Here is a 25553-nt window from a genome sequence, read left to right as displayed (position 1 = left end):
GGCTTTAGTTTTAATACCCTCATTTTACAGGTTAGAAAACTGAGGCTTGCAGAGGTGTTTGTGATGCAGCTCCAGGATTCTTACTAAAATCTACCTGAATTTAAAGGATCCAAGTTTAGCCATTCCACCATCTGGCCCCCTCCTGCATGTTTCTCCAGCCTAAGCTCTTGGCAGCCTCCTGTGGGCTCTCTCTCACCACCTGTCTTTGTCCCCTCTGGCCATCTCCTTGCATTGCCTGGCACAGGCTCAAGCACTGCCCCCTCGCACCGACACCAAGCTCTTACAGGGCTTCCCGCTTTGCACCTGCAGCCTGCCCCTCCTCCACCCACATGGCTCCAGGAAGGTCTGCCTGGCAGACTCCTGATTCTCAGGCAGCCCCTGCAGAGAGCCCTCCCCAGGCTCCCTCTCCTGTTCCCTTATAGCTATTGGGAGACATCTGTCATGATGTCATCAGAGTATCACTGCTTTCCAAGAAAGGCCTTCCTACTGGGCAAAGAATGGGCTGATTTCTACCAAGCTGAGTGATCCCCATCATTGGAGTCAGTCAAGCATGTGTTAGGGGTAGTGAAGGGGCCATTGACTGAAGGTTCTTGCAGTCGGAAAAATCTGGAATCTCAGATCCAACCAGAGTAACCAATGTTGACTTCATTCAGGCTCTGTTTTTTTACTGCAGTGATCCTAGAAGCAGAGGGCCATGGGGCTGGCACAGGGCACGAAGTCCCTGTAGGTATGTTAAGAAGAAGAGCATGGGCCGGGCGCGGTGGCTCATGCCTGTAATCCCAGCACTTTGGGAGGCCGAGGTGGGCAGATCACCTAAAGTTGGGAATTCAAGACCAGTCTGACCAACATGGAGAAACCCCGTCTCTACTGAAAATACAAAAATTAGCCGGGCGTGGTGGCACATGCCTGTAATCCTAGCTACTCAGGAGGATGAGGCAGGAGAATTGCTTGAACCTGGGAGGCGGAGATTGTGGTGAGCCAAGATTGCGCCATTGCACTCCAGCCTGGGCAACAAGAGCAAAACTCTGTCTACAAAAAAAAAAAAAGAAGAAGAAGAAGAAGAAGAAGAAGAAAAAGAAACTGAATCTGCATCCATGCAGTGGGCATCCACAAAGTGGGCTCCCAGGGTCCATGTTTGTAGAAGTTGGTGTGCAGGTGCAGTTTTTGGAAACAAGGTGCTGTATTAGGGTTCTCCAGAGAAACAGATCCAATAGGGCATATGCAGATCTATAGAAGAAATTTAATTAATTAATTAATTCATTTATTTTTGAGACAGAGTCTCACTCTGTCGCCCAGGCTGGAGTGCAGTGGCGCATTCTCGGCTCACTGCAAGCTCCACCTCCCGGGTTCACGCCATTCTCTTGCCTCAGCCTCCCGAGTAGCTGGGACTACAGGCTCCTGCCACCACGCCTGGCTAATTTTTTTTTTGTTTTGTATTTTTTAGTAGAGACAGGGTTTTACCGTGTTAGCCAGGATGGTCTCGATCTCCTGACCTCGTGATCTGCCCGCCTCGGCCTCCCAAATTGCTGGGATTACAGGCGTGAGCCACTGCACCTGGCCTAGAAGAAATTTATTATAGGAATTGGCTCACACAATTATGGCTCACACAACTATGTCTGCAAACTGAAGACCCAGGAAAGTTGGTGGTGTAATTGCCAGTCTGAGTCCAAAGGCCTGAAAACCAGGAGCACTGATATTTGAGGGCAAGAGAAAATGAATGTTCCAGCTCAAGAAGGAAGAGGAAGAACTCACCCTTTTTCTGCCTTTTTGTTCTACTTGGGCCCTTGAAGGACTGGATGGTGCCCACCCACACTGGTGAGGATGGATTTGCTTTACTCAGTCTACCCATTCAAACGCTAAGCTCTTCCAGAAACACGCTACCCACACACCCAGAAATCACATTTTACCAGCTATCTGGGCAACCCTTAGCCCAATCAAGTTGACATCTGACATGAGCCATCACAAACACCAAGGTTATGTAAATTCCGAAAAGGTTCTGAGACACGGAAAAGCTCAGGTGCCTCTAGCCAGGCCTGGCAACTGTAAAGCCCACTTTGTTGAGCTGTAGGTGAGGATTCGTGTGTTTGGGAAGAGAAAAAGGAAGAGAGGAAAGGGCCAGGTGTTCTAGTAAGAGTCTCAAGGGACTTAGTATCTTTTTTTTTTTTTTTTTGAGACAGAGTCTTGCTCTGTCACCCAGACTGCAGTGCAGTGGTGCGATCTCAGCTCACTGCAACCTCCGCCTCCTGGGTTCAAGCGATTCTCCTGTCTCAGCCTCCTGAGTAGCTGAAACTACAGGTGCGTGCCACCACTCCCAGCTAATTTTTGTATTTTTAGTAGAGACGGGGTTTCACCATATTGGCCAGGATGGTCTCGATCTCTTGACCTTGTGATCTGCCCTCCTCGGCCTCCCAAAGTGCTGGGATTATAGGTGTGAGCCACTGCGCCCGGCCGAGACTCAGTATCTTAAGGCAAAACACAGGCATTTGCTCATGTTCCAACTCCACAGTTCTCTGAATGCGCTGTAGAGCTTTGTAACTCCATCCTGTGTAATGTTTCCTGCTGTCTCTTTCAGTTGGTCTTTGGGAAATATTTTCAGTGACAGAAAGTAAGAAATAAGGAAAAATATCCAAGTCCTTGCTCATATACCTCCCTTGATCTAGGGATACAAATTCAGATTTTTGCGGTGGCAAAGACAATCTTCATTGCAATGACAAGCTTCCAACACATCTTCTAAAACTCCTACAGGGGAGGAGCAAGAATGAGTCTGCAAAGAAGGGCTCAGGGAGGAAGGAGATTGGCGGGAGTTTCTTGCCCAGACTCCCCTGCCCTCTGCTTGGCATACTAGGAGGGAGAGGCCACTCTTGGCATATTGCTGCTTTTTTTTTTTTTCAGCTAAATGTTGGAGACTTTTGTTTTCAAAGTTGAGTTTTTTTTGGATGGCTAAGGATGGAAAAAATGCACATTCCCTTTTTCAGATACTGGTTCATGCCCTGTTTTTGTTTAATTTCTTGGAAACTTGAAGTTGCAGCCTGCGAAGTGGGGAGGCCCTGGGCTGGGGAAGCGAAGCTCTGGAAGGGGCCCAGGTCCCGATTGGGGATCCAGAGAGGCTTCCCTTCATGTGCCTCTAGACGAGGTGTGGGGAACCCGGGGAACAGCCATCCCAGCCAACACAGAGTGCGTGGGGATACTGGAGCCCGGTTTTTCTTCTCCTTTCTTGGGACACTGCCAGGGAATATAACCACAGACACTGCACGAATGAGCACCCAAGTCACAGTTTTTCTAGAAACAAAGGTGTGGTTGGGGCATCCCATTCCATTGCTACCCCAACAAGGGCAGTGTGGCCGGTGGGGCCATCTGGCTTGGGTGTGGGTAGCAGTTTGGAGAGATTTTAGAAGAGGCTCCCTGACAAAGGGTCAGAGAACCCCAGCACTGCACTGAGTTTTCCTGACTGTGAGCTCTCAGACAAACAACAGTGTCACCTCCTGTAAATGGGTGCCCTAACACTGCAAGAAGCTCAAATTCATGTTGTCATTCAGCCAACATGGTTTTTGGCATTATGATGGTTTCTGTGATGCACAGAATAGCACGTAATTGGCTCTGGGTGTGAAGATCACCACGGTCTTAATGGAAGAGAGGGTTGAGCAAAGTGATGATTTAGTCCAATTGCACAGAGTGGATGGTGTGGGCAGGCAGCTGGGAAGAAGTTAAGAGTAGCCTCAAGGCCAGATAGTCCTGATCCCTCCCACTTTCTTCGCCTGACCAGGTGGGTGACCTTGAACAAGTTGCCTAGAATGTCAGATCCTGTTTCCTTATCAGGACAAAGGAGATCGTAACAGTACCAGCCTCACCCCCATTCCTAACCCAGCTGGCTGTGACCTCCTCCCCACCTTCCCCTATGGCATCTTCCCTGGCACCCCTTGACTCATCTCATTGACTCTTGACCTGGTGTCTCCTAGAGTGTAGGAAAAATGCCTGCCTCATCTCTAGGGGCTGGGGCATGGTGCTCATGAAGCCTTTGCCTGGGAATAAATACCCAGATCAGTCTGGGGATGAGAAATGACACTACCTTCCAGAGCACAGCAGGGGTTGTTCAAGTCTTCCAGAAAAGCAGCTCTTGTTTCTCCTCATGTGGTGGGAGTGGAGTCAGAGCGTGGCTCAGGCCCCACATTCTCAGCTGTTTGGATCTGGGGACTCGAAGTTTCTGGTGGTTACTTCTGAAAGTCTTTTCCAGGATAATTATTCTTGCTCGGTTTCTCTGCCATCTCTGACAGGCTGTTTTCCCTGCTTCCCCCGCTGCCCTGAAGGGGCCAGAGGAACAGGGCAGGACCCCAGGGCTGCGGATGGGTTAGGCAGCTCTGTTCCCGAATCCAAAGCAGTTCTTGGTGACTGTCCTCCAAGACTTGCCCTGGACCCTGCTCCGGGTGGGATTCTGAGACCGCCTGCTCCACGTGGCAGATGAAATCTAGGTCTCTTCTGTGAGAGGCTGGCGGGGAGGATGTTTTCCTGGAAAGGACCACAGGACAAACCGCTGATGAAATTTCTCTTGTGACCTCCCTGGAGGAAGAGCACTTCTGATTTCTGCAAACTTTTTCCATTCCCCCGATCTCACAAATGGGGAAACTGAGGCTAAGCGACTGAGTTCAGGGCCATCTGAATCTCAGGGATGGACAGTCAGGATGGACAACCTATAGGCCTTTCCTCCTCTGAGAATCTCTCTGCTCGGGATCGTTTTTCTGGTTTCCCCTGGCTTGCCTAAATTCTGCTCATTTGTCCCGGCGCATTTTAAGAAGTCATGTGACTTCTAAAGACTTCCCTGACCTCCTCCCTTCATTAGCTGGGTATTTCAGGGGCTTCTACGGCACCCTAGGCTTTCCGGAGCGGCTGTGCTCCTTTATGTATGCGCGACTCCCACTAGGCTATGAGCTACAGGAGGGAGGGTAGGTCTTGCTCCCGGAGAGCACCTTAATCACAGGCGCTGAATGAAAGAATGAACTGGTTGTGCAGGAACCAGGATCCGAACCCGCCTCCCCAGGTACTCTAACACCGGCCCGGCGGAACCTGCAAGCCTCCAGACCACTTGGAGCCTGGGCTGCTCAATGGGTCTGATAATTCCAGGTCCTCTCTGCGGCCAGCGAAGGGAGGTCCCAGGGCGCACCTCGGCAGGGCGGGGGACCCCGGTGAAGGGCGCCTGGAGGCGCGCTGCATTGTTAGGGTGATGAGGCCAGGTGACCCGCCAGGCTCGGGGCGCGGGCGCGGGGGCCGGCCGTGGCGATTGCCCGCGCCGCCTCGAGGGGGCCCTGCCGCGGGCGCCGGCAGCCAGCCAGGAGGACGGGCCCGCCCGCGCGCTACTCGGAGCCCAGCCTCGTTGCGGCCATCGCCCTGCCGGACCGCGCCTCAGGCTCCCCCAGGTACTGGGGCCGGGGAAGGAGGAAACGCGGCCACGCGCCGCGGTCCTCTTTGTTTCGGGCCCGGCGCGGGCTTTCGCGCTCCGGGCGCAGGAACGAGGCTTGGGGAGCACAGAGATCTGGAGCTGGGGCGCGGGGACTGAGTTCGGGGAGCGCGGAGACAGAGTTCGGGGAGCGCGGGGTACGGGAGCTCAGGGCGCGGGGATGGGGTCACGGGAGAACCCAGGTTAGGGAGCGCGGGGACCCGGTTGGGGGCGCACGGGCAAGGGGTTTGGTGCGCGCGGGTACGGGGTTTGCGGCGCGTGGGGGGCGGGGGCTCGGCAGGAGTCCCAGGACAGGGGCTGGGGCGCGGGCCAGCTTCGCCGGAGTCCGGGGACGGGGGCGCTGACTGGCTGGGTTTGGGGACTGGCTGGGGCGCAGGACCACTCGAGTGGGACCCGTGGCGCCCGGGCGCCCTGGACTGAGGGCAGAGACCGGAGCAGCTATGTCGCAGTCGCTGTCGGGACCGAGCGGACTTTGCTCCCTAGGACTCCGTCTCGAGACTCCAGGTGGAGAGCGCAGCTAGGGGCTTCAATGGGCAGGCTCAAGACCCTTCTCCTACTTTTTCTAGGCAAGCTCTCCAGTGCGTCTCTTTCCCTTTCCCTTTGGTGGGTGGGAGGCAGGGGGTCTTTACGCGCTTCCTTTTTTTCCCTGAAGGACGGGACCTCGGGGTGGGGGGATATTCTGGGGTGGGGGGTGCTGTCCCAGGCTGGGGGCCAGCTGTGTGGCATGTGCCTCCTGGCACGCGGGAGCTGTCGCTGACAAGCAGGAGGAGGGAGGGTCCCGGACGGCCCAGGGGTCTCTGTGTCGGTGCTGTGCAGCGGCCTGACATGTGAGTCCCGGGTCCTTTGCTTGGAGTGATTTGAGTGTCTGTGGCGGGAAGAGATTCAGGCGTTCCTCAGGCATTCTCCAGACAGTGTCAGCAGATGACCCGAACTCCAGCGTGGTTGAAAAACTCAAAGCGCCATCAGGGTGTGGGGCCAGCAGAGAGCACTACTGAGGGTGGTCACAACCCCCTGGGAAGCCCCCAGGCTTCCTTGGGGCGCATTCACACACTTTGATCTTCCGGGTTGGCTTTCCCCCCATTTTTTTCACTATTTGAATGCATGATCATGGAGGACTCTGAAAATATACTGAAAAGTATGAATGCAGAACTCATTGTATTAATATTGCATGGCCCTTCTGAACTAACCAACCCTTTGACATTTTAGATTTTCTTGAGGCTTTGGTCTGTGCATATTAATTTTTTAAATTGCTTTCATGCTTTCCCTTTTGAATGAGGTTTACTTGTTCTGGTGATTCTGGTTCTTCTCTCTTTGGGGCCTGTGAGGTTATATTTGCAAATCAATCAACAAGTATTAAGAAAGGCTTTTCTGTGCTGAGGCCTTGAGGGCCAGGGAGGGGGTGGGGAGTCGCTGCAGCTGGAGGGTGGAGGGGCAAGGCCATTACACAGAGATGGAGGTGCACTGGGTCCTGGTGGGGGTGTGGTAGCACAGGGGGTGGGGGGTGTGTACACAGGGAATTGACAGGAGGAACTGGCAGCAAGCCCGACTCCTGACCTTAGGAATAGTAATGGTGACCCCGAAGACAAAGTAACAGGCATACCGATTGAGTGTTTGCCTGTGCTAAATGCTTTGCATGCATTCATTTCATTTCACCCAAATTACATTCCTTGGAGGGAGTTGGGATTATGATTACCCCATTTTACAGACGAGTAAACTGAGGCAAAGGAAGGCTAAGTAACTTGGCCGAGATGAAATGAAACATGGTGGTAGTGCAGCCTGGGATTCTGGGACAGGACTCTAGGGTCCCAGACCCCTGTTCCTGGCTGCTGCTGCGCGTCTGTCGACTGAATTCTAATGCATGTCCAGACAGCGATTCCTCAGCTGAGGCTGCCATAGCTATCAGCAGCTCAGCTGAATTATGTCTTTAAAAAACTACCAAGATAGAAAAACTAGTAGCCCCAGGGCACTACTTATTCCTGAATGCAAATTGATTTTTTTTTTTTTAACAAAGTGTCTCTTTGGCACCTAATGTTTTGAAAGTGAGCTGTTTGCAAATGTGACTCTGGAAATAAAGGGCAGGAGAGGGGGTGTCAAAGTATGCTCTTCCACTGCAGGAGGTGTTGCTGAAGGGGATAGCAGAGACCTGAGGAGGAGGCAGTATGGCAAGAACAGTGAGTGGAAGGGCTGACCTACCATTTGGCAGTCGCAGCTTATATCTGCTTAGGACTCTACACAAGGACCCATTTTACAGATGAGTAAAATACCAAGTAAATTCTTAAAGTCTGGGAACAGTTAGGGATCTGAATGAGCCCAGTTCTCTGACTCTATGTGCCCCATTCCTTTCTTAAGATCAGCCTGTTGTAAACCACCCCTGTTCAGGGGAAGCCTCTTGTTCCCTCCCTGTGTCCCTGTGTATGAACTTGAGAGGGGGAGGAACTTTCCACCTTCCTGAGGGCAGAAAGCATTGTTTAGATCCCTGCCACTTACTAGGAAGCCAGAGACATTTGCTGAGTGCCTCAGCAGCACGCTTAGAATTGAGGCTTCGAGGCTTCCTCACAGCGGCCCCCATAGATTTCCCAGGGAGGGGCCTCCTGTCTTGCGGGTTGATCTGGTGGGTTTGCCCCATGCAGCAGGAGCTATCATGGGAAGGGTGGGTCTGGGCGTCTGAAGCTCTCCAGGAGGTCAGCTGACCCTGGGACCCCGGGTCCTTCCTGTAGGACCCCAGAAATCACTGGGGAATCAGCTAACCCCTGCAAGCTGTGCCTGGAATGACCTAGAGCCAGTCCTGTCTACCTAGAATCCTCTGCTGCTATCCTTGTTGATCTAGAATGAGGGATGCTGGTTAGTTGGTTAATTAAGTAGGTGGTTGATTAACTTAGTTACTCTCTTCCTCACAGCAAGAGTATTAAAAACCATCACAACATGGAACACAGTTCTTTCTTTCTGCCCCCACAGTGAAGGGCGTGTTGCGTGGCTTCATCTTCACAGGGATCATGGCTCACAGTTGTGTCGTTTCCACGCTGCCTCACTGCTCCTAAAACGCTGAGACAAGAAAAATCGCTGCCACCAAAATGCTGCTGAGCAGGACTAAATTCTCCTAGATTGAGGGCGTTTTGAATCTTAGAGTATGTTGAATCCGGATGCAGGCCCGTGTCCTGCCGTGGGGCTTTTCGAGTGCAGCTCGGGCAGGAACAGTGGTTTCCTTGATGTCTATCCGTTTCTCGTAAAAGCAGAAAACTAGACTCTCCAAGTTTCGTGAGCTTTCTGTTTGTACTCTGTGACTCAGGAATGTGTTTGGTACACATCCATCACTGCAATGTGGGATGTAGTGCTGAGCTCAGGGTCCCTCGGGTGTCTCCATTGTCTGCATGGCGGCATCTCCTGTCCTGCTCAGTGTACTCCAGGAGCACCGTGGCCCTCTAGACACACCTCTAACCACCGCCCCCCCCCAACCCCCTGCCCCATGCACCTGGCGCAGCTCTACCTGGTATCCCTCACCTGTTGCCTCCTACCCTCGCTGGGAGTTGCCTCTGCGAAACAGGAGGGAGGAGGCCAGTGAAAATGAGGGTGACTGAGGATGGGGGCCATCAACTTGGGGATGAAGCACTGCACACAATTTAGGGTCCCTCGGAATGCCTCACTGTGTCAGGGAAGGGGAGGATTCTCACATGCTTCTTTTTATTTTTTTATTTTTATTTTTTTGAGATGGAGTCTTGCTGGAGTCCAGGCTGGAGTCCAGTCGGGCCATCTCAGCTCACTGCAATCTCTGCCTCCTGGGTTCAAGCAATTCAGCCTCAGCCTCCCAAGTAGCTGGGATTACAGGCGCATACCACCATGCCCAGCTAATTTTTGTATTTTTAGTAGAGATGGGGTTTCACCTTGTTGGCTAGGCTGGTCTCGAACTCCTGACCTCAGGTGATCCACCTGCCTCGGCCTCCCAAAGCGTGGGGTTACAGGCGTGAGCCACTGTGCCCGGCCGATTTTTTTTTTTTTTTAGAAGGCAGTAGTCTACTACTCTTTTGTCTCCTGGGCAAAATGAATGAAAGATTATACTGAAGGATTCTATGTCTGTGATCTAGAAAATTCCCTCTGGCAGAGGGAGGTGCTCCCAGAGCTAGGGAAGTGCTCCTCAGAGCCACCCCTCAGGGGAGAGACCTCTCTGTCCCTGTCTCCACCCCAGCGCTGGGCAGGAAGCCCTGGGAGCCCTCTGCAAACAGCCCGCCAGCTCTCAGCCTAATAACGCGGCTAACAAGACCCCCTTCCTTTTACTACTCAAGTACCCAAGGTGGCTTGGGCACTTTCTGTCCCTAGTCTGATCGTTGCTGAACCGTGCATGTATGCCATCCTGATGGTCTCCCTTTTCTGGAAGAGAGCGCTGAGACTTAGCGAGCTCAAGTAACTTGTGTGTGTTGTGAGGATACTGAGCCTTGGATCTGAATCCCGGTCCGTCAGCAATGCTTGGAGTTCTTGCCAAGATGAGGGGTTTGTGCAGTCCCCACCCACAGCCCAGCCCCTGGAGTGGCCAGGCCAAGGCTCAGGAGCTGCGGCGTGCCTGCTGTCTACCTCAGCCAGTGCGCCAGCCCCAGCTGCTTCCTCGGACCCCAAGGCTGGGCCTTTCTTTACTCTTCCTTCCTCCCTCAGCTCTAATTATGGTTCATGTTAGATTGTCTGCCCTTCCTCTTCCTCTTCTCTTTTGGGGAAAGATAATAGCACTTAATACGCCCTTTGCAGGCCTGGCTTTGTTTCTAAGATATCAGAAGAATCTTTAGGAATCTTTCTTCCAGCTGCCCAAGCGAGCGGCAACCTGTCGGCACCCAGGAAGGATGAATACGGGTGCCCTGCTGACGATTACAAGTGCCACTCCTAGCCAGGCCATGCCCCTGGGGACACCGGGGACACCTCCAGGTGGACTAAAGTGTGTCACCTCCTTTCATTGTGTCTTGGCAGCCACAGTGTGACGTGGCACCTCTTGTGTGTAGAGTTTATGAAACTGCTCCTGAAAAGTAGAGACCAATTCGTTGATGCTTTGAATACACTGGAATACACTCGTGGCGATACTGAAAGAAAGAAAGTCCTCGGGAAGTGTCTGGCCAAGGCCGTTCACTGCCGTCTGCAGTTGCTTTTCTTTTTACAGGAGAGCCCGGGCTCTGCTCCAGGCCCTGGGATTATTTCTCGCTGGAGGATTCAGGAATCTGCGCTCTCCCCATCACCCTGGAACACAGCTGCAGTGTGTAACATTTCACTCACTTGGAGCCACACAATAAAAGGCACAGGCCCACATCTGGCTGTGCAGGGCAGGCGGGCAGGAGAGTGGGCCCTGGGGCACACTGGGCCATTAGCAGGGGCATCTGCGTCCTGGCCTGTGCACATTCCTCCCTGGAGCGCCGGGCTGGCTCTGCAAACAAAGGGGCCTGGTCCTGGCATTCTTCTCCACCTTGTAATCCATCACCTTTCTTAGAGGTGTCCCTGGGCGCCTACCCCTTTCATCACTGGCCATTTGGGAGGTAGATCAAAGGTACGCACAGGAGGCAGTGACATAGGCCAGGCTCTGGCATCCCACAAACCTGGGGCAGAACTGTCCTTTGTCCTGAGAGGTCCTGGGGTTATTGTGACTGTGTTTGTCATTTGTCACCTGCAGCCTGGGGTTGTCGTTCCTCCACAGGTTTGCTCCTCCACTGGTTCCGGAGCTCAGGGGTGGGAGCCACGTGGGGTTTTGTTTCCTCCTTTTGGGCTCCAGGCCCAGTGTACTTTGGTCCTGCTGAATTTCCATGGCCCCAGGGGCCTGAAAAGCACCTTGTGGTCCTTCTGGAGAACCACTTCCTCATTCTTGGAGGTGCTAATCTGATCCACTGGGAGGGAGCTGTGTGCTAAGTGGTTGACACAGGGGAGGCCAGCGTGATAGAGATGAGTTTTTCTCCAAAGATCAAGGACAGGTGTTTCCAGTTTGTCTCCTCTGGAAAGACCTGCAGAGCCGGGTGGACAGGGCTGGAGGAAAGGGGGCCTGTGTCCATGTCTTGGGTAGGTGCTAAGGGAGACAGGAGGGCTCTACGTGGGTGAAGAATGCATTTCTCTCTTGTCCTGCACGCAGGAGGGAGGCACATTTTTTATCTGTATTACTCGGAGAGTAGCAGAAGACTCTCAAGTAATGAGCATATTTTTGCTGCTTTTTTTTTTTTTTTTTTTTTTTGAGGCAGAGTCTCACTCTGTCACCCAGGCTGGAGTGTAGTGGTACAATCTCAGCTTACTGCAAGATCTGCCTCCCGGGTTCACGCCATTCTCCTGCCTCAGCCTCCCAAGTAGCTGGGACTACAGGCGCCTGCCACTACGCCTGGCTGCCCGGCTAATTTTTTGTATTTTTAGTAGAGACGGGGTTTCACCATGTTAGCCAGAATGGTCTCGATCTCCTGACCTCATGATCCGCCCTCCTCGGCCTCCCAAAGTGCTGGGATTACAGGCGTGAGCCACCGCGCCCGGCCGTATCTTTGCTTCTTAATTTGCTTTTTGACTATTTTTCTACAAAATAGTTTTCTTGTAATATGTGCTCATTGTAGACTTGGAAAAGATAGAGAAATGCTAAGGAAAAAGGAAAAAATTCCTTCTAATATCACCTCCACAGAGGTTCATATTTTAGCCTTCTTGTGTGCCATATGTTTTCTGTGCTTTTTTAATTTACCAAGCTGAGATCATACCATATGTATTATTTTGTATCCTGCATTTTAAAGTCAATGTGGCAGTATAAGCATTTCCCAATCCAGAAATAGCTCTGCATAAATATGACTGCTGATGACAGTATAGTACTCCAGTATGTGGATGTACCATGATATTTGGACTTCACTATTTGTTCATTGATCATTTACATCCTGTGTTATGCTTGCACATAGGTCTTTGGGCAGATCGTAGCTAGTCATGCTCTTGAAAGGATTTCTAGCAGACTCTTTGGCATCAAAGAATACAAACATCTTTTTTTTTAAGCTTTGGTAAAACATGCATAACATGAACTTTGTCGTTTTAATCATGTTTAACTGCGGCAGTTAGGCGACATTAAGAACCTTCACGTTGTGCAGCCATCACCACCCTCCAGCTCCAGAACTCTTTCCATTTTGCAGAACTGAAACTCGGTGTCCCTTAAGCACTAACTCCCCATGTTCCCCTCCCCCCAGTCCCTGGCAACCACCATTCTACTTTCTGTCCCTGTGAAACGGACTACATCGGGTGCCTCATACAAGTGGAATCATACAGTATTTGTATTTTTTGTGATTTGTTTATTTCACTTAGAATACTGTACTCAAGGTTTCATCCATGTTGTAGCATGTGTCACGATTTCTCTCTTTTTAAGGCTGAATAATACCGTGTGTGTGGGGGTGTGTGTGTGTGTGTGTGTGTCTGTATGAATAGCACATTTTGTTTATCCATTCATCTGTTGATACACTTCAGTTACTTCTACCCTTCGGCTGTTGTGAATAATGCTGCTATGGACATGGGTGTATAAGTCCCTGCTTTCCATTTTTTTTTTGGTGAGCACAAGCTTTTTGGAACTCCTTAGTATATATGGTCAAATTGCAGTTGAGACATAGGGTGCTGGCTGGATTCTCACGGTGTCCACCCGCTGTCCTTAAACATGGCTAGGTTATCACCCCCAGGGTAAAAACCAGGCCTGCAGGAAAAGGAAGAGGGAGACTTCTTACCAAGCTATTTTGACAGATTGTGTAAACTCTGTGATTAATGGGATGAGAAAGCAGGAAGAATGTCTTTCATTTAAAAAAAAAAGAGCCTTCGGGGTTGCTTGGTTTTATTTTCAATTAAAAGGGTCTGATTTTGTTTCTGGAGAATGGTTTTAATTTGGATAAATGGTTCAGTCTGGGAACCACATGCCAGAGCCTATGATCTATGAGTGCAATTACTCAGGGTTTCCTCGGCTGCTTTTCTGAGGGAACGGTCCAGAACTGGGCTCGCTCTGGTTTGGCTCTGTTAAAACGTCGATGCAGGCCCTGGGCAGTTGGAGTGAGGCGGTTCTTGTGATCAGTCCTTGAAGTGCAGCCATAATGCCCTCCCCATAATGCCTTCCCCAACTGATGGTGGTTAATTTTTACCCTCTAAGAATGTGTTCACAATTCCAAATCAGGAATGTCAACAGCAGGCTGTCGTTTTCCCCTCCTTGGAACATGTTGAACCAGAATTACTGGCATCTTTTCCAACGTGGGCATTTGCAGAATTGGTGGGATTTGGGGGCTCAAGGAGGAGGCAGACTCATCCTAATGTTTCTCCTCTGGATTACTTGAGGTCCCTGGCCGGGCAGGCCTGCAGGCCCAGAGACGGGGTGGTGGGTTGCTCTATCTGGAGTCAACTGGTGTTTCTTTCCAAGAGGATGCTGGGCTGGGGGAGGTGAGGGACTAAATCCTGGGCGACTTTGCAGAAGGACCCGTCGCGATGGAGGGGCAGCGTGGGCAGAGGCCCTGGGCAGGGCCACCTGCTGTGTTCTGGAGTAGCAAAGGGGATTTGCAGAAGGCAAAGAAGAATACAAAGACACAAGGTAGGGTGTTTCACCCTTTCGGAGAACTGTGGCAAAGCCCTGGACAACTTTCCATGGCGCTTGTAGATTTGAGACCAATGCCCCAGCGACCTAGCGGGCTGGTGGGAGGCAGCGTGGAGGGCGGCAGGGTGTCCCCAGGGTGGGAGGTGGAGAGAGTCTGCACAGAAATTTCCAAGAGCACAGCCCATAAGGGAAGAATAGGCTTGCTCGTGAGGTGGGTGAAGGCATTGCCCTGCTGGCTTGTATCAGGGCGTTGGCTCCTGGGTCCTCAACAAAGGGCATATTAGCATAATGAATAGTTAAGTTACTTGGTTGGGCTTCAGTCCTTGGGGCCGTGGTCTCTTTCCGAGGGAAGGACTGGTGGGTGGGCCCCACCTCTGGAGATCCAGCCTGCATTGGGACCACGTGGTTTGAGAAATGTTTTCCCAAGCCTGGGCCACACGTGACCCTTGATTTCTGGGGCAGCCCTGGTGGCAACTCCCCACATATCCCTGTGAGGCCTTTCTCATTTTCCACTGGCAAGGATTCAGGTGTAACCAGATTATTCTGATGAAAAATTTGAGTGAGACAGGTAACCCGCAACACACAGAGTTGCTATGTTTTGCTCTTTTTTTTTTTTTTGAGACGGAGTCTCGTTCTGTCGCCCAGGCACGATCTCAGCTCACTGCAACCTCCCCATCCCGGGTTCAAATAATTCTTCTGCCTCAGCCTCCATAGCTGGGACTACAGACGTGTGCCACCACGCCCCGCTAATTTTTGTATTTTTAGTAGAGACAGTGTTTCACCATGTTGGCCAGGCTGGTCTCGAACTCCTGACCTCAGGCGATCTGCCCGCCTCGGCCTCCCAAAGTGCTGGGATTACAGGCCTTAGCCACTGCACCCGATCATGTGTTGCTCTTTAACTCCCCACCCCCACCTCCATTAAATAGGAATAATCCAAAACATAGGTCATCGAGAGCATACTGTGCTTTTAAGGCATTTTGCTTATTATTAGTAGAGATTTTGCGACAACTGGAATGGTGTTTATTCACTTTTTAAAGGCTCACTCTTCTCACAGGATAACAGAACACACGATCATTCATTTTCCTCTTCCCACGAAGGTGTTTGCAGCAGTGGGCGTGAGAAGCATAGTGTGTGTGTGACTACCGCGCGAATGGTTCTCCCAAACCTGGATCCCGACCTAGGCGTTGCCGTTGCCGGTCTCTGGGTGTCACCCTCCCATTTATGACTGTAGTGACTTCTCAGAACGCCCTGGAGGGATGGCCTTACTCCAAATGGTCCCTCGGCTGCCGGGCTATTTGTGAGTAAAAGATGTTTGTCAGTGCTGCTTCTTTTAGAACATGCCCATTCCACATCAGCTCAGCTTGTCGGGTGTCTGGTTGTCTGTGCGGAGCCCATGGGGAGGTCTCTGCAGCCTCACACCTAGCAGTGAGGTGGCCCCTCTGCGTGGTCATGCCCTGCGGAGTTGCATTCCTCTCCCTGATGGCTGGCTGCCAGGACCTGTGGGCCCTGGCGGTGAGAGGAGTGGGAGGTGCTGTGGCTCCTGCCAGGCTAGCTCTTCACAGACTGGGTTAGTTCTTCCAAAGCATAGTTCCCTGGGACACCACGCACGGGGCAAGCACAGCTGTGTGGCCAGCGGCATGCTGACAGGGCTAGACACGCACTGGGCCGCTTAATGCCGACCTTGGCCTGTGAGTCTGTGACCAGGACTCTTGGTGAGCGGCCAGCTGGGGGCTGTTGGTGCTGAGTTCAGCTTTGTAGCCAAAAAGGTTCCAGCTGATTTCCAGACAGACCCGGCTTCCGTTTTCAATGCCAAGATGAGCTGGGCGAATGAGTGGGAGCGGACAGAGGCTTTTGGCCGACTGTGATCGCTATTGTCTGGAGTCCCCTTGACCCTCTGGAGGTACTGCCTCTCCTTTCATTTGTACACACTGGTTTTTCTGCACGGTTTCGCCTCTTGTCAGCTCTGGGGACACCAGCTTTTCCGTTTCCCATACTGCCAGATGGCTTTGAGCAAACAAGAGGAAGTCCCCAGCGTGGGTGCAGCCTGTGGCTGCGTTGTCCTGCCTGTTTACCCTGGGGGTGAAGCGGAAAGGGAGCAGGCTTTGCAGGAACCCAGGTGGCACCCCTTCTCGTCCCTGCCACTTGTTCTCTTTGTGGCCCTGGGATGGTCCCCAAACTTCTCTGAAGTGGTGCTGAAAACTGTGTTGATAGCACGGACCTCACTGAGCTGTTAGGAGTAGCTGTCGACACTGTGTACCCGAGGTTCTTTCCAGTGGAAACCAGGTTAGCCTTCGATTCCTTTTCTTTCATCTGTGGTTGGTCACCCTTTTGAGAGCTCTGACCCCAAAAGAAGTGTTTTTCAGATTGGCCCAAGTTCCTCCACGTTGGGCCCCCCAAGACAGACTGACTGAGAAGGGAGTGGAGCTGTGGGCCTCCTGAGTCCTTCCCAGGCTATGTCCCTTCCAGAGTGGTCCAGGTGGGACGCTGACTACCAGAGGCCTGGCCCTCTGTTCTGAGGCCCAGTTAGCCATGGCCTTCATCTGCTCACATTCTGTGGGATTGGGTTGTGTAATTTTCGTTGTATCTCTCTGTCCTCATTAAATCTGAATTCCTCCAAGGACAAGAAGGCTGCTGCTGCTTAAAAAAAAAAAGAAAGAAAAAAAATGATAAGAGCTTTAGAAGGAGCTTAGAGTTAGCTACGTGTACTTGCCAAGGTGTGACATCACTCAGAGCCTCCATTCCATCCTCTGGACAGCCAGGGGCTGGCCTCCCAATCCGGTGCTCACTGGGCACACTTCACTATGGGAGGGGATAGTTACACATCTAGATGAAAACATTCTAGAAGTGATTGCTTACGAGGAGAGAGGGAAATGCCGGCACATTTTCCCAGGCTTTTGTTCATGTTTTTATTAGGGCCACAACTTTCATTCTTGGAGTTTTGCTTTGTAAATTATTCCTTTAACTTGCAGAAGAGAACCATTTACAACTCATCTTACAGACTTGAGAATCTAGCCTACTGATATTTCCTTGGAAAATAGCCACATTGCAAGTTGTTGTGTTATTGAAAGTTGATGACAAATGTCCCCAGGAGTCCATGCAGGTTTCCTGAGAAGAGTTGCACCTACGGAGCTGTGACTTCAGCACAAAAGAATATTCTTTCTGGACAGAGTGTGTTGTGGGGTTTGTTTCCTTCAAATCTGTACTGCCAAATGGCAAGAATCATTTCCTTTTTCTTCCTCGGAAAATGGATTCCAGTCTTGATGCAGAGCCACCAGCACTGTGTAATCCCTTGTGTAATGTTTATTTATTTATTTTTTCTTTTTATTGAGACGGAGTCTCGCTCTTGTCGCCCAGGCTGGAGTGCAATGGAGTGATCTTGGCTCACTGCAACCTCCGCCTCCTAGGTTCAAGTGATTCTCCTGCCTCAGCCTCCCAAGTAGTTGGGATTATAGGCGCCTGCCACCACGCCTGGCTAATTTTTTATATTTTTAGTAGAGGGGGGGTTTCACCATGTTGGCCAGGCTGGTCTGGAACTCTTGACCTCAGGTGATCCGCCTGCCTTGGCCTACCAAAGTGCTGGGATTACAGGCGTGAGCCACCACGCCCGACCTATTCTTTTTATTGAGACAGAGTCTTGTTCTGTCACCCAGGCTGGAGTGCAGTGGCACCATCTCGGCTCACTGCATCCTCCACCTACCAGGTTCAAGTGATTCTCCTGCCTCAGCCTCCCAAGTAGCTGGGATTACAGATGACCATCACCACGCCCAGCTAATTTTTGTATTTTTAGTAGAGACGAGGTTTCCCCATGTTGGCCAAGCTGGTCTCGAACTCATGATCTCAGGTGATCCACCCACCTTGGCCTCCCAAAGTGTTAGGATTACAGACGTGAGCCACCACGCCCCGTCCCTGTGTAATATGTATGTATGTGTGTTTGTGATAGAATCTCACTCTGTTGCCCAGGCTGGAGTGCAGTGGCGCCATCTTGGCTCACTGGAACCTCCACCTCCCTGGTTCGAGCAATTCTCCTGCCTCAGCCTCTCGAGTAGCTGGGATTACAGGCGCCCATCACCACACCTGGCTAATTTTTTAAATTTTTAGTAGAGACGGGGTTTCATCATGTTGGCCAGGCCGGTCTGGAACTCCTGACCCCAGGTGATCCACCCTCCTCGGCCTCCCAAAGTGCTCGGATTACAGGCGTGAGCCACTGCGCCTGGACCCTTGTGTAATATTTAAATGCAGGTTTTGTTCTTATAAAGATGTTGGGCATCCAGCAGACTTGTCCTGGGAAAATGTCTCCTCTCCCCCTTTTTGCTTTGTGCTGAGACCCCCAGATCGTGTTCACAAATACTGCATCGGGGACTGAGTGCACGTAAGACACTAGCCAAATTTTGGAGAGATGTTTGGGTTCATATAATACATAGGCTTCGTGCCTGAAGCACATCAATTCTCAGATGAGCAACTGCTCAGATCCCTGCCTGGAGGAGGAGTGGGTGTGGTGATGGCAGCCACGCTGTGAATACTGTGGGCTTTGTTCACAGCCACAGTGAGGAGGAGATAGTGTGTCCCGGTACAAGTTATCGCTCTATCAGCAGATCCATCTGTCCTTCCTCAAAGAGGCTGCGGCCCACTTCAGGGCCATTGTGTCAAACAGTTGGCATTTGGCCTTGGCCCTGGGTAAAACACATGGCAGGGTATCACGTGGGTGCCACTCACGACTCCCCCACATCTGCCGGGGTTTCCATAACGCACTGTTCTGTTTGCAGCTGCACGAATGCGATATGGCACAGCAGCCGCTCATAGACCTCAGGCTTGTTGCCATGCATAGAAGATGCACACCGCAGAGTGGAGGCCGCAGGCAGGGAAGTAACTGGCATGAATTATTGACTGTGTGTGAGGCCCTGTGCGGGGAGATTCACTTGTTCCTTCCTTTATTCATTCATTCACTCACTCATTCCTTTCATGCAGCTCATGTTCAGTGAGTGCCTGCTGTGTCTCAGATACATTTAACCCTCACTAACTCTGTAGAAACTGAGGCTCAGAAGGTGAATGCAGGGCGAGGTAGCTTGCCCACCATCTCAGCTTGGACATGGCAGGGCAAGGGGCTTCCGATCACGCCTCTCAGACCCAGAGTCTGCTTGTCTCCATTCTGCCTGCTCTGGAGCCCCCAGTTCTTCCAGCTGCATCTCGAAGGTGAAGGAAGACGATCCCGTGGCCTGCTCAGGACTATGTGCCTGCTGCTGTGGCCTGGCTCGCCTCTCCCTACCCTCTCCTGCAGGCCCCAGGGTCCTCTGGAGTCCAAGGCTTAGTGTTTTGAATCACTGGCCTTTCCTTTGAGAAAAATGGGGCTCCCTGTGCCAACTTTTCAAGAGCTTGATGGCAGGGCAGCCTCTCAGAGGGTCTTGGGGGAGCTCCCAGAGTGGAGTTTTGCCGGGGTGCCTGTGGGTACAGACAGCAAAGTGGAGGCAGCTTAGAAATCAGCATGTCACATTGGGCTGGAGAATCAGCCGGATGCCCGAGCCTCTTGTTTTAGGGGGCGACTGGCAGAATAAGTCATGTTAGGCCCAGCTTGTTCCTTATTACTGATCGATGTTACCTACGAGGGATGTACCACAGTTTACTCAACCACTCACCAGTTGCAGGACTTCCAGTTCATGAACATGATATATCTTTTCAGTTATTTAGATTATCTTTCATTTCTTTCATTGGCATCTGTGTAGTTTGGCATACAGGTCCTGTGTGTGTCTTCAGATTTACACCCAAGTGTCTCACTTCTTTTTTTTTTTTTTTTTTTTTGAGACCGAGTCTCGCTCTGTTGCCCAGGCTGGAGTGCAGTGGCATGATCTCTGCTCACTGGAAGCTCCGTCTCCCAGCTTCACTCCATTCGTCTGCCTCAGCCTCCCAAGTAGCTGAGACTACAGATGCCCCCTGCCATGCCCGACTAATTTTTTGTATTTTTAGTAGAGACGGGGTTTCACCGTGTTAGCCAGGATGGTCTCGATTTCCTGACCTCGTGATCCATCTGCCTCGGCCTTCCAAAATGCTGGGATTACAGGTGTGAGCCACTGTGCCTGGCCTCACGTCTTAAAGTGATTGTGAATGGCCTTGTATTTTTAATTCTGTGTCTGTGTATTCATTACTAGTACATAGAAATGCAATTGACTTTTGTATGTTTACCTTGTATCCTGTGAGTTTGCAAAGTTTTGTTTTGTATATTCCTGGGCATTTCCCATGTAGATAATCATGACATCTGAAAATAGGGACAATGTTATTTCTTCCTGGACTTTGCCTTGTAGATTGTTGCACAGTATGAATTTGTACGGTTCTTCTCTCCTCATTAGATTCAGGATAAGCAGTTTTTAAAAAATGATTACATATGTGTGAGGTACCTCTACTTGCTTGCCTCACATTAAGAGATGGAATGTCTTTTTTTTTTTTTTTTTTTTTTTGAGATGGAGTCCGGCTTTGTAGCCCAGGCTGGAGTGTAGTGGTGCCATCTTGGCTCACTGCAACCTCCCTCCCTGTTTCAGGTGATTCTCCTGCCTCAGTAGCTGGGACTATAGGCACACACCCACCACGTCCAGCTGATTTTCTGTATTGTTAGTAGAGACGGGGTTTCACCATGTTGGCCAGGCTGGTCTCGAACTCCTGCACTCAGGTGATCCACCTGCCTGGGTGTCCCTAAGTGCTGGGATTACAGGCATGAGTTACCGTGCCCGGCCATGAGATGGAATGTCTTTTTGTCCTGCTGTTGGCCCGCTAAGTCAGATCACTTGGTTGAGACCCGATTCCCTTCTTACCTTTGATACTGCCTCCTAACAACTTTCAGCCATTTTAACATACAAGGATGGCCTTTGCCTGAATCAGTTATTCCCTTAGGAGTTATGCAGTGGTAGTTCTTAACTGTTTTTAAGCACTTTAGAAACACTATTGTCTTGCACATAATCAGACTGTTACTTAGCAATCCCTTTTGCTTGGGGAGCAAGCTCTTCAGAGTAAAAGGGAGAGTAGAGGGGGAGAAAATCGTATTTACTTTGTTGATTCCATAGGCAGTTTGCAAATTTGACAAAACAAACATGTGTGCCTTTTCTCAAACCCTGACTCTGTAAGAGCACCCTGAGTACCTTTGGGCAGCACGCTATTGTAACTGCAGTGGAAACGTGAATGTGGCTGCCATCACTGCCAAATGATAGATGCCTGCCCAGGCTCACCTACCAGCCGGGCAGCTGCTTGGGTGGCTCTGTTGAGGAGTCCATGTTTTTGGACGAGTGCTATCTTAAGTCAGCAGTTCTCACAGTGAGGTCCTGACACCAGCATTAGCATCCCCTGGAAACTGTTAGGAATGCCAGTTCTGGGTTCCACCCCAGACAGACCTCCTGCGTCAGACACTTTGGGTTGCGGCTCGGCAGGGTTTAGAACCACTCATCTGGATTAATCTTTTTTCCAATATGTATACTAATCTGAAACCCCAGTGAAGCTGTTAATTGAGATGTCTTTAAAGTTCCATGTGGCTTTGCAGTAATCCACGCATATCATGCCATCAGACTGTGGCTGGTTGCTCTTCCAAAGCCTCCCAGCGCCCGTGTGAGGAATAAGCTGCATTTACAGTTCTCATACTTAGGAGAACTCCTTTTAGCTCCCTGAACCCCCAATGTGAATTTTTGCCTAAGATTAAGAAATCCAGCAGAGTGCGAAATTGGAAAGCGAGGTTGGTGTTAACTAGTGTAAATTTGTGCGTATTTTCAGCATTTGTTTATATTTAACTTTGTCCCCCACCTACTGGCTTATTACCTTAAGAAATAAAAAACTGGCCAAGCGTAGTGACTCATGCCTATCTATAATCCCAGTAATTTGGGAGGCTGAGGCGGGCTGATCACCCGAGGTCAGGAGTTCGAGACAAGCCTGGCCAGCATGGTGAAACCCCGTCTCTACTAAAAATACAAAAAATCAGCTGGGCATATGGTGTGCGCCTGTAGTTCCAGCTACTCGGGAAGCTGAGGCAGGAGAATCGCTTGAACCTGGGAGGTGGAGGTTGCAGTTAGCTGAAATTGCACCACTGCACTCCAGCCTGGGCGAAAGAGTGAGCCTCTGTCTCCAAAAAAAAAGGCCGGGCGCGGTGGCTCATGCCTGTAATCCCAGCACTTTGGGAGGCTGAGGCAGGTGGATCACGAGGTCAGGAGATCGAGACCATCCTGGCTAACAGTGAAACCCCGTCTCTACTAAAAATACAAAAAATTAGCCGGGCTTGGTGGTGGGCGCCTGTAGTCCCAGCTACTCAGGAGGCTGAGGCAGGAGAATGGTGTGAACCCAGGAGGCGGAGCTTGCAGTGAGCTGAGATCGCGCCACTGCACTCCAGCTTGGGTGACAGAGTGAGACTCTGTCTCAAAAAAAAAAAAATAGAAATAAAAAAATCAACATTTCTGGAGGCCAGTGTCTTTATAGCCTGCTCTACTGGTTAAGGATTTTGATTCTTCACCATAGAGATGCAGACTGAGCTTCTTTTGTGTGCAAGACAGTCTGCTTTTCTTACAACGAGGAGTTCCTATGAACTCAGGAGCAAGTAGGTAGCCACGTGTGAATGTGGACCAAGCTGTGAGAAGGGGACATGTCTGCAGAGGAAAAGAAGGTGCTGTGGAAACTGAGAGCTGAATGAGGATAGGGTCGGGGAGGCAGCCAAGAGCTTAGTGATATTAATCAGTCAGGTTGTCCAGGGAAGCAGAACCAACAGGGCATGTTCATATATATATGCGTATACATGTATATACGCATATATATATATGAATAAATTTTAGCCGTTCTTGAGGTTGCAGTCTTTTTTTGTTTTTTTTTGTTTTTTTTTTTTTTGAGACGGAGTCTTGCTCTGTTGCCCAGGCTGGAGTGCGATGGCACAATGTTGGCTCACTGCAACTTCTGCGTCCTGGGTTCAAGCTATTCTCCTGCCTCAGCCTCCCGAGTAGCTGGGATTACAGGTGTGTGCCACCAGGCCTGGCAAATTTTTGTATTTTTAGTAGAGATGGGATTTCACCATGTTGGTCAGGCTGGTCTTGAACTCCTGGCCTCCTGATCTGCCTGCCTCCGCCTCCCAAAGTGCTGGGATTACAGGCATGAGTCACCACGCCCAGCAAGGTTGCAGTCTGGAGTCTGAAGGCAGCTTGGAGCAGAATTCGGAATCTGTCTTTTCTCTTAAGGGCTTCAACTGATTGGATTAGCCCCACTGACATTATGGAGAGTCATTTGCTTTATTCAAAGTCCACTGATTTAAATGGTTTTTTTTTTTTTTTTTTTTGAGACAGAGTCTCGCTCTGTCACCCAGGCTGCAGTGCAGTGGTGTGATCTCGGCTCACTGCAAGCTCCACCTCCCGGGCTCACGCCATTCTCCTGCTTCAGCCTCCTGAGCAGCTGGGACTATAGGAGCCTGCCACCATGCCAGCTAATTTTTTTTGTATTTTTAGTAGAGACGGGGTTTCACTGTGTTAGCCAGGAAGGTCTTGATCTCCTGACCTCGTGATCTGCCCATCTTGGCCTCCCAAAGTGCTGGGATTACAGGCGTGAGCCACCGCGCCCGGCCTTAAATGTTAATCATATGTAAAAAATACCCTCATGCAACATCTAGACTGAAGTTTGACTAAACAATTGGATACCATGGCCTAGCCAAGAGGATGCATAAAATTAATGACCACTGCAAGGAATTGGGATTGTGACTGTGACTGTGGTCTGGGGCAGTGGGAAGATTTATGCTGGTTGGCAAGTGGGTGTGGGAAAAGCCACCAACAGTGTCCTCCCTGCTCAGTGGCCTCAACCCAGGGCTGTCATGAGATAATACACTGTTCATCACTAGGCTTGTGGAACACAAAGGTGAGCCACTTTCTGGAGAAGCGGGGCAGAGCTTCTGTAAGTCGACTTTGATGACACCCTGGGGGTGAGATTGGATCTCCCCAGGATAGGATTGGTGTCCTCCAGAGGGAATGAGCATCCTGGCTTCAGAGGTTGGGCACTCAGTCTTGCTAGTGAGTCCTGCCCCATGGTTGACTAGCTCAGGACCCAGGAGGTCATCACTGGGTCCTGAAGCTTTTCTACCAAAACTGGTGAAAAGGCCTTCTTCAAGGGCACCTTTCAGAGTGAGCACCCAGGAGACGTTCGTGAAAGTGTGAGCTGCCCTCAGCTTAGGAACTGTTCTTATGTATTTATCTCACCGTCCAGATGGTAGGGCTGTGGACTTTAGATCTTTGTCGTTGGCCTAGGTTTGAGAGTCCTTGAAGGGGGGCTCCAGGCAGGAGGGGTTCTGTGTTTCTGGCAGGTGCCCATGCAGCTCCTGGCTGTGACCACTCCATCTGCCTCACTCACTCTGGATGATCCTTGTGTGCCCAGGCAGAGGGCCTGGCCCGGGGATGCCCAGGGAGTTTTGCCTAGCTTCGCTGTTAGGGACATAAACAAGAACGGGCATAGCTAAAGAAGGGTATGGCCAGAGAAGGCTGGGCCCGGAGCTGGGGGTGGGGCTGTGTCTTGGCTCCCAACGGTTGTTGTTGTTGAATTATCCCCAGGCACTCATGGAGTTGTCCTGAAACCCATCTTCCGTGTGCCTTGATTTATCCATGCTGTTCTTACCCATGTCATCTTCAGAGAGAAAAGTCTTTTTCCCATGCACAGCCAAGAGACTGACTTTACTTGTTTTGTACGTAGTTAAGAATTCCACCAAAAAGAATTCCACTGCCATACCAGCATCTCCAAGGATGTCCCATAAACTTGGTTGCAGAGTTTTGTGAAATGTTGCACTCCAGTAGAAGGCAGCAGACTAGGCCTGGTGCGGTGGCTCATGCCTGTAATCCCAGCACTTTGGGAGACCAAGGCGGCAGATCACCTGAGGTCAGGAGTTTGAGACCAGCCTGACCCATATGATGAAACCTCATCTCTACTAAAATACAAAAATTAGCCGAGTGTGGTGGTGGGCACCTGTAATCCCAGCTACTTGGGAGGCTGCGACAGGAGAATCGCTTGAACCCGGGAGGCGGAGGTTGCAGTGAGCCGAGATAGCGCCATTGCACTCCAGACTGGGCAACAAGAGTGAAACTCCATATGGGAAAAAAAAAAAAAAAAGGCAGCAGATGAGACTGAAGGGTGTGACCTTTCAAGTGTTTATCCACCTTTGACCAAATAAATCTAATTCCATCTCTTTGAGTCTACTTAAGATAACTATCAATGATAAAGATTTTTTTTGCAGAACTCTGTTGAGGAAAAATGAGCTGGCTTTTCCATTTCCAGAATGATCTCCGGGTCAGAGACATACACTGGGTCAGTCCAGGGAGGGGAGGCCACTCCTCCCCTGGATGGTCAGGGTGCACAGGGAATTTTTGCCATCATTACTGCAATGGAGAAATGTTTACCTATCAAACTGTATTGCAACTGTGCTTCAATTACTTGCCACCTTGGGCTGTTAGTAAGGATTGACCTATTCAGGTTACCAGTAGACTAAGTGGCTGAACCAGCTATCTACTGTGAAGCAGACTAAATAACTTAGTGGTTTAAAGGAAAACAAATTCTTTCTTGAGGTCTAGTGGGCTAGCTGCATGGGAGCTG

General features: G+C 50.8%; 1 protein-coding gene across 11 annotated transcripts in view, besides 2 other annotated features; it reads left to right on the top strand.

The window, feature by feature from the left end:
• The window catches only part of TNS3 (tensin 3), a 307433-nt gene continuing 286752 nt past the window's right edge, over positions 4873-25553 (top strand). For 3 of the 11 annotated variants that reach the window (XM_047420731.1, NM_022748.12, XM_047420725.1), the window contains exon 1: positions 5348-5408. Coding sequence is in view for 5 of the 11 variants with exons in the window: in XM_047420729.1 (XP_047276685.1) it covers positions 4988-5032 (45 nt within the window). In the remaining 6 variants the exon portion in view is untranslated. Of the gene's footprint in view, positions 5033-5347; positions 5587-5760; positions 5954-7563; positions 7621-25553 lie in introns of those variants that run through there. The other 8 variants (XM_047420728.1, XM_047420723.1, XM_047420729.1 and 5 more) reach the window with 6 other exon arrangements.
• Positions 4937-5474: an enhancer, noted in NCBI's record as "H3K27ac hESC enhancer chr7:47621583-47622120 (GRCh37/hg19 assembly coordinates)". NCBI's record gives its function as "activates a minimal SCP1, AML or CMV promoter by ChIP-STARR-seq in primed H9 embryonic stem cells {active_cell/tissue: H9 hESC(primed)}" and the evidence as "EXISTENCE:reporter gene assay evidence [ECO:0000049][PMID:30033119]".
• Positions 5475-6012: an enhancer, noted in NCBI's record as "H3K27ac hESC enhancer chr7:47621045-47621582 (GRCh37/hg19 assembly coordinates)". NCBI's record gives its function as "activates a minimal SCP1, AML or CMV promoter by ChIP-STARR-seq in primed H9 embryonic stem cells {active_cell/tissue: H9 hESC(primed)}" and the evidence as "EXISTENCE:reporter gene assay evidence [ECO:0000049][PMID:30033119]".

Source organism: Homo sapiens, chromosome 7 (genome assembly GCF_000001405.40).
Source record: "Homo sapiens chromosome 7, GRCh38.p14 Primary Assembly".
Classification (NCBI taxonomy): domain Eukaryota; kingdom Metazoa; phylum Chordata; class Mammalia; order Primates; family Hominidae; genus Homo; species Homo sapiens.
The sequence above is the reverse complement of the archived record's forward strand: the minus strand, read 5'-3'. Positions and strand labels throughout refer to the sequence as shown.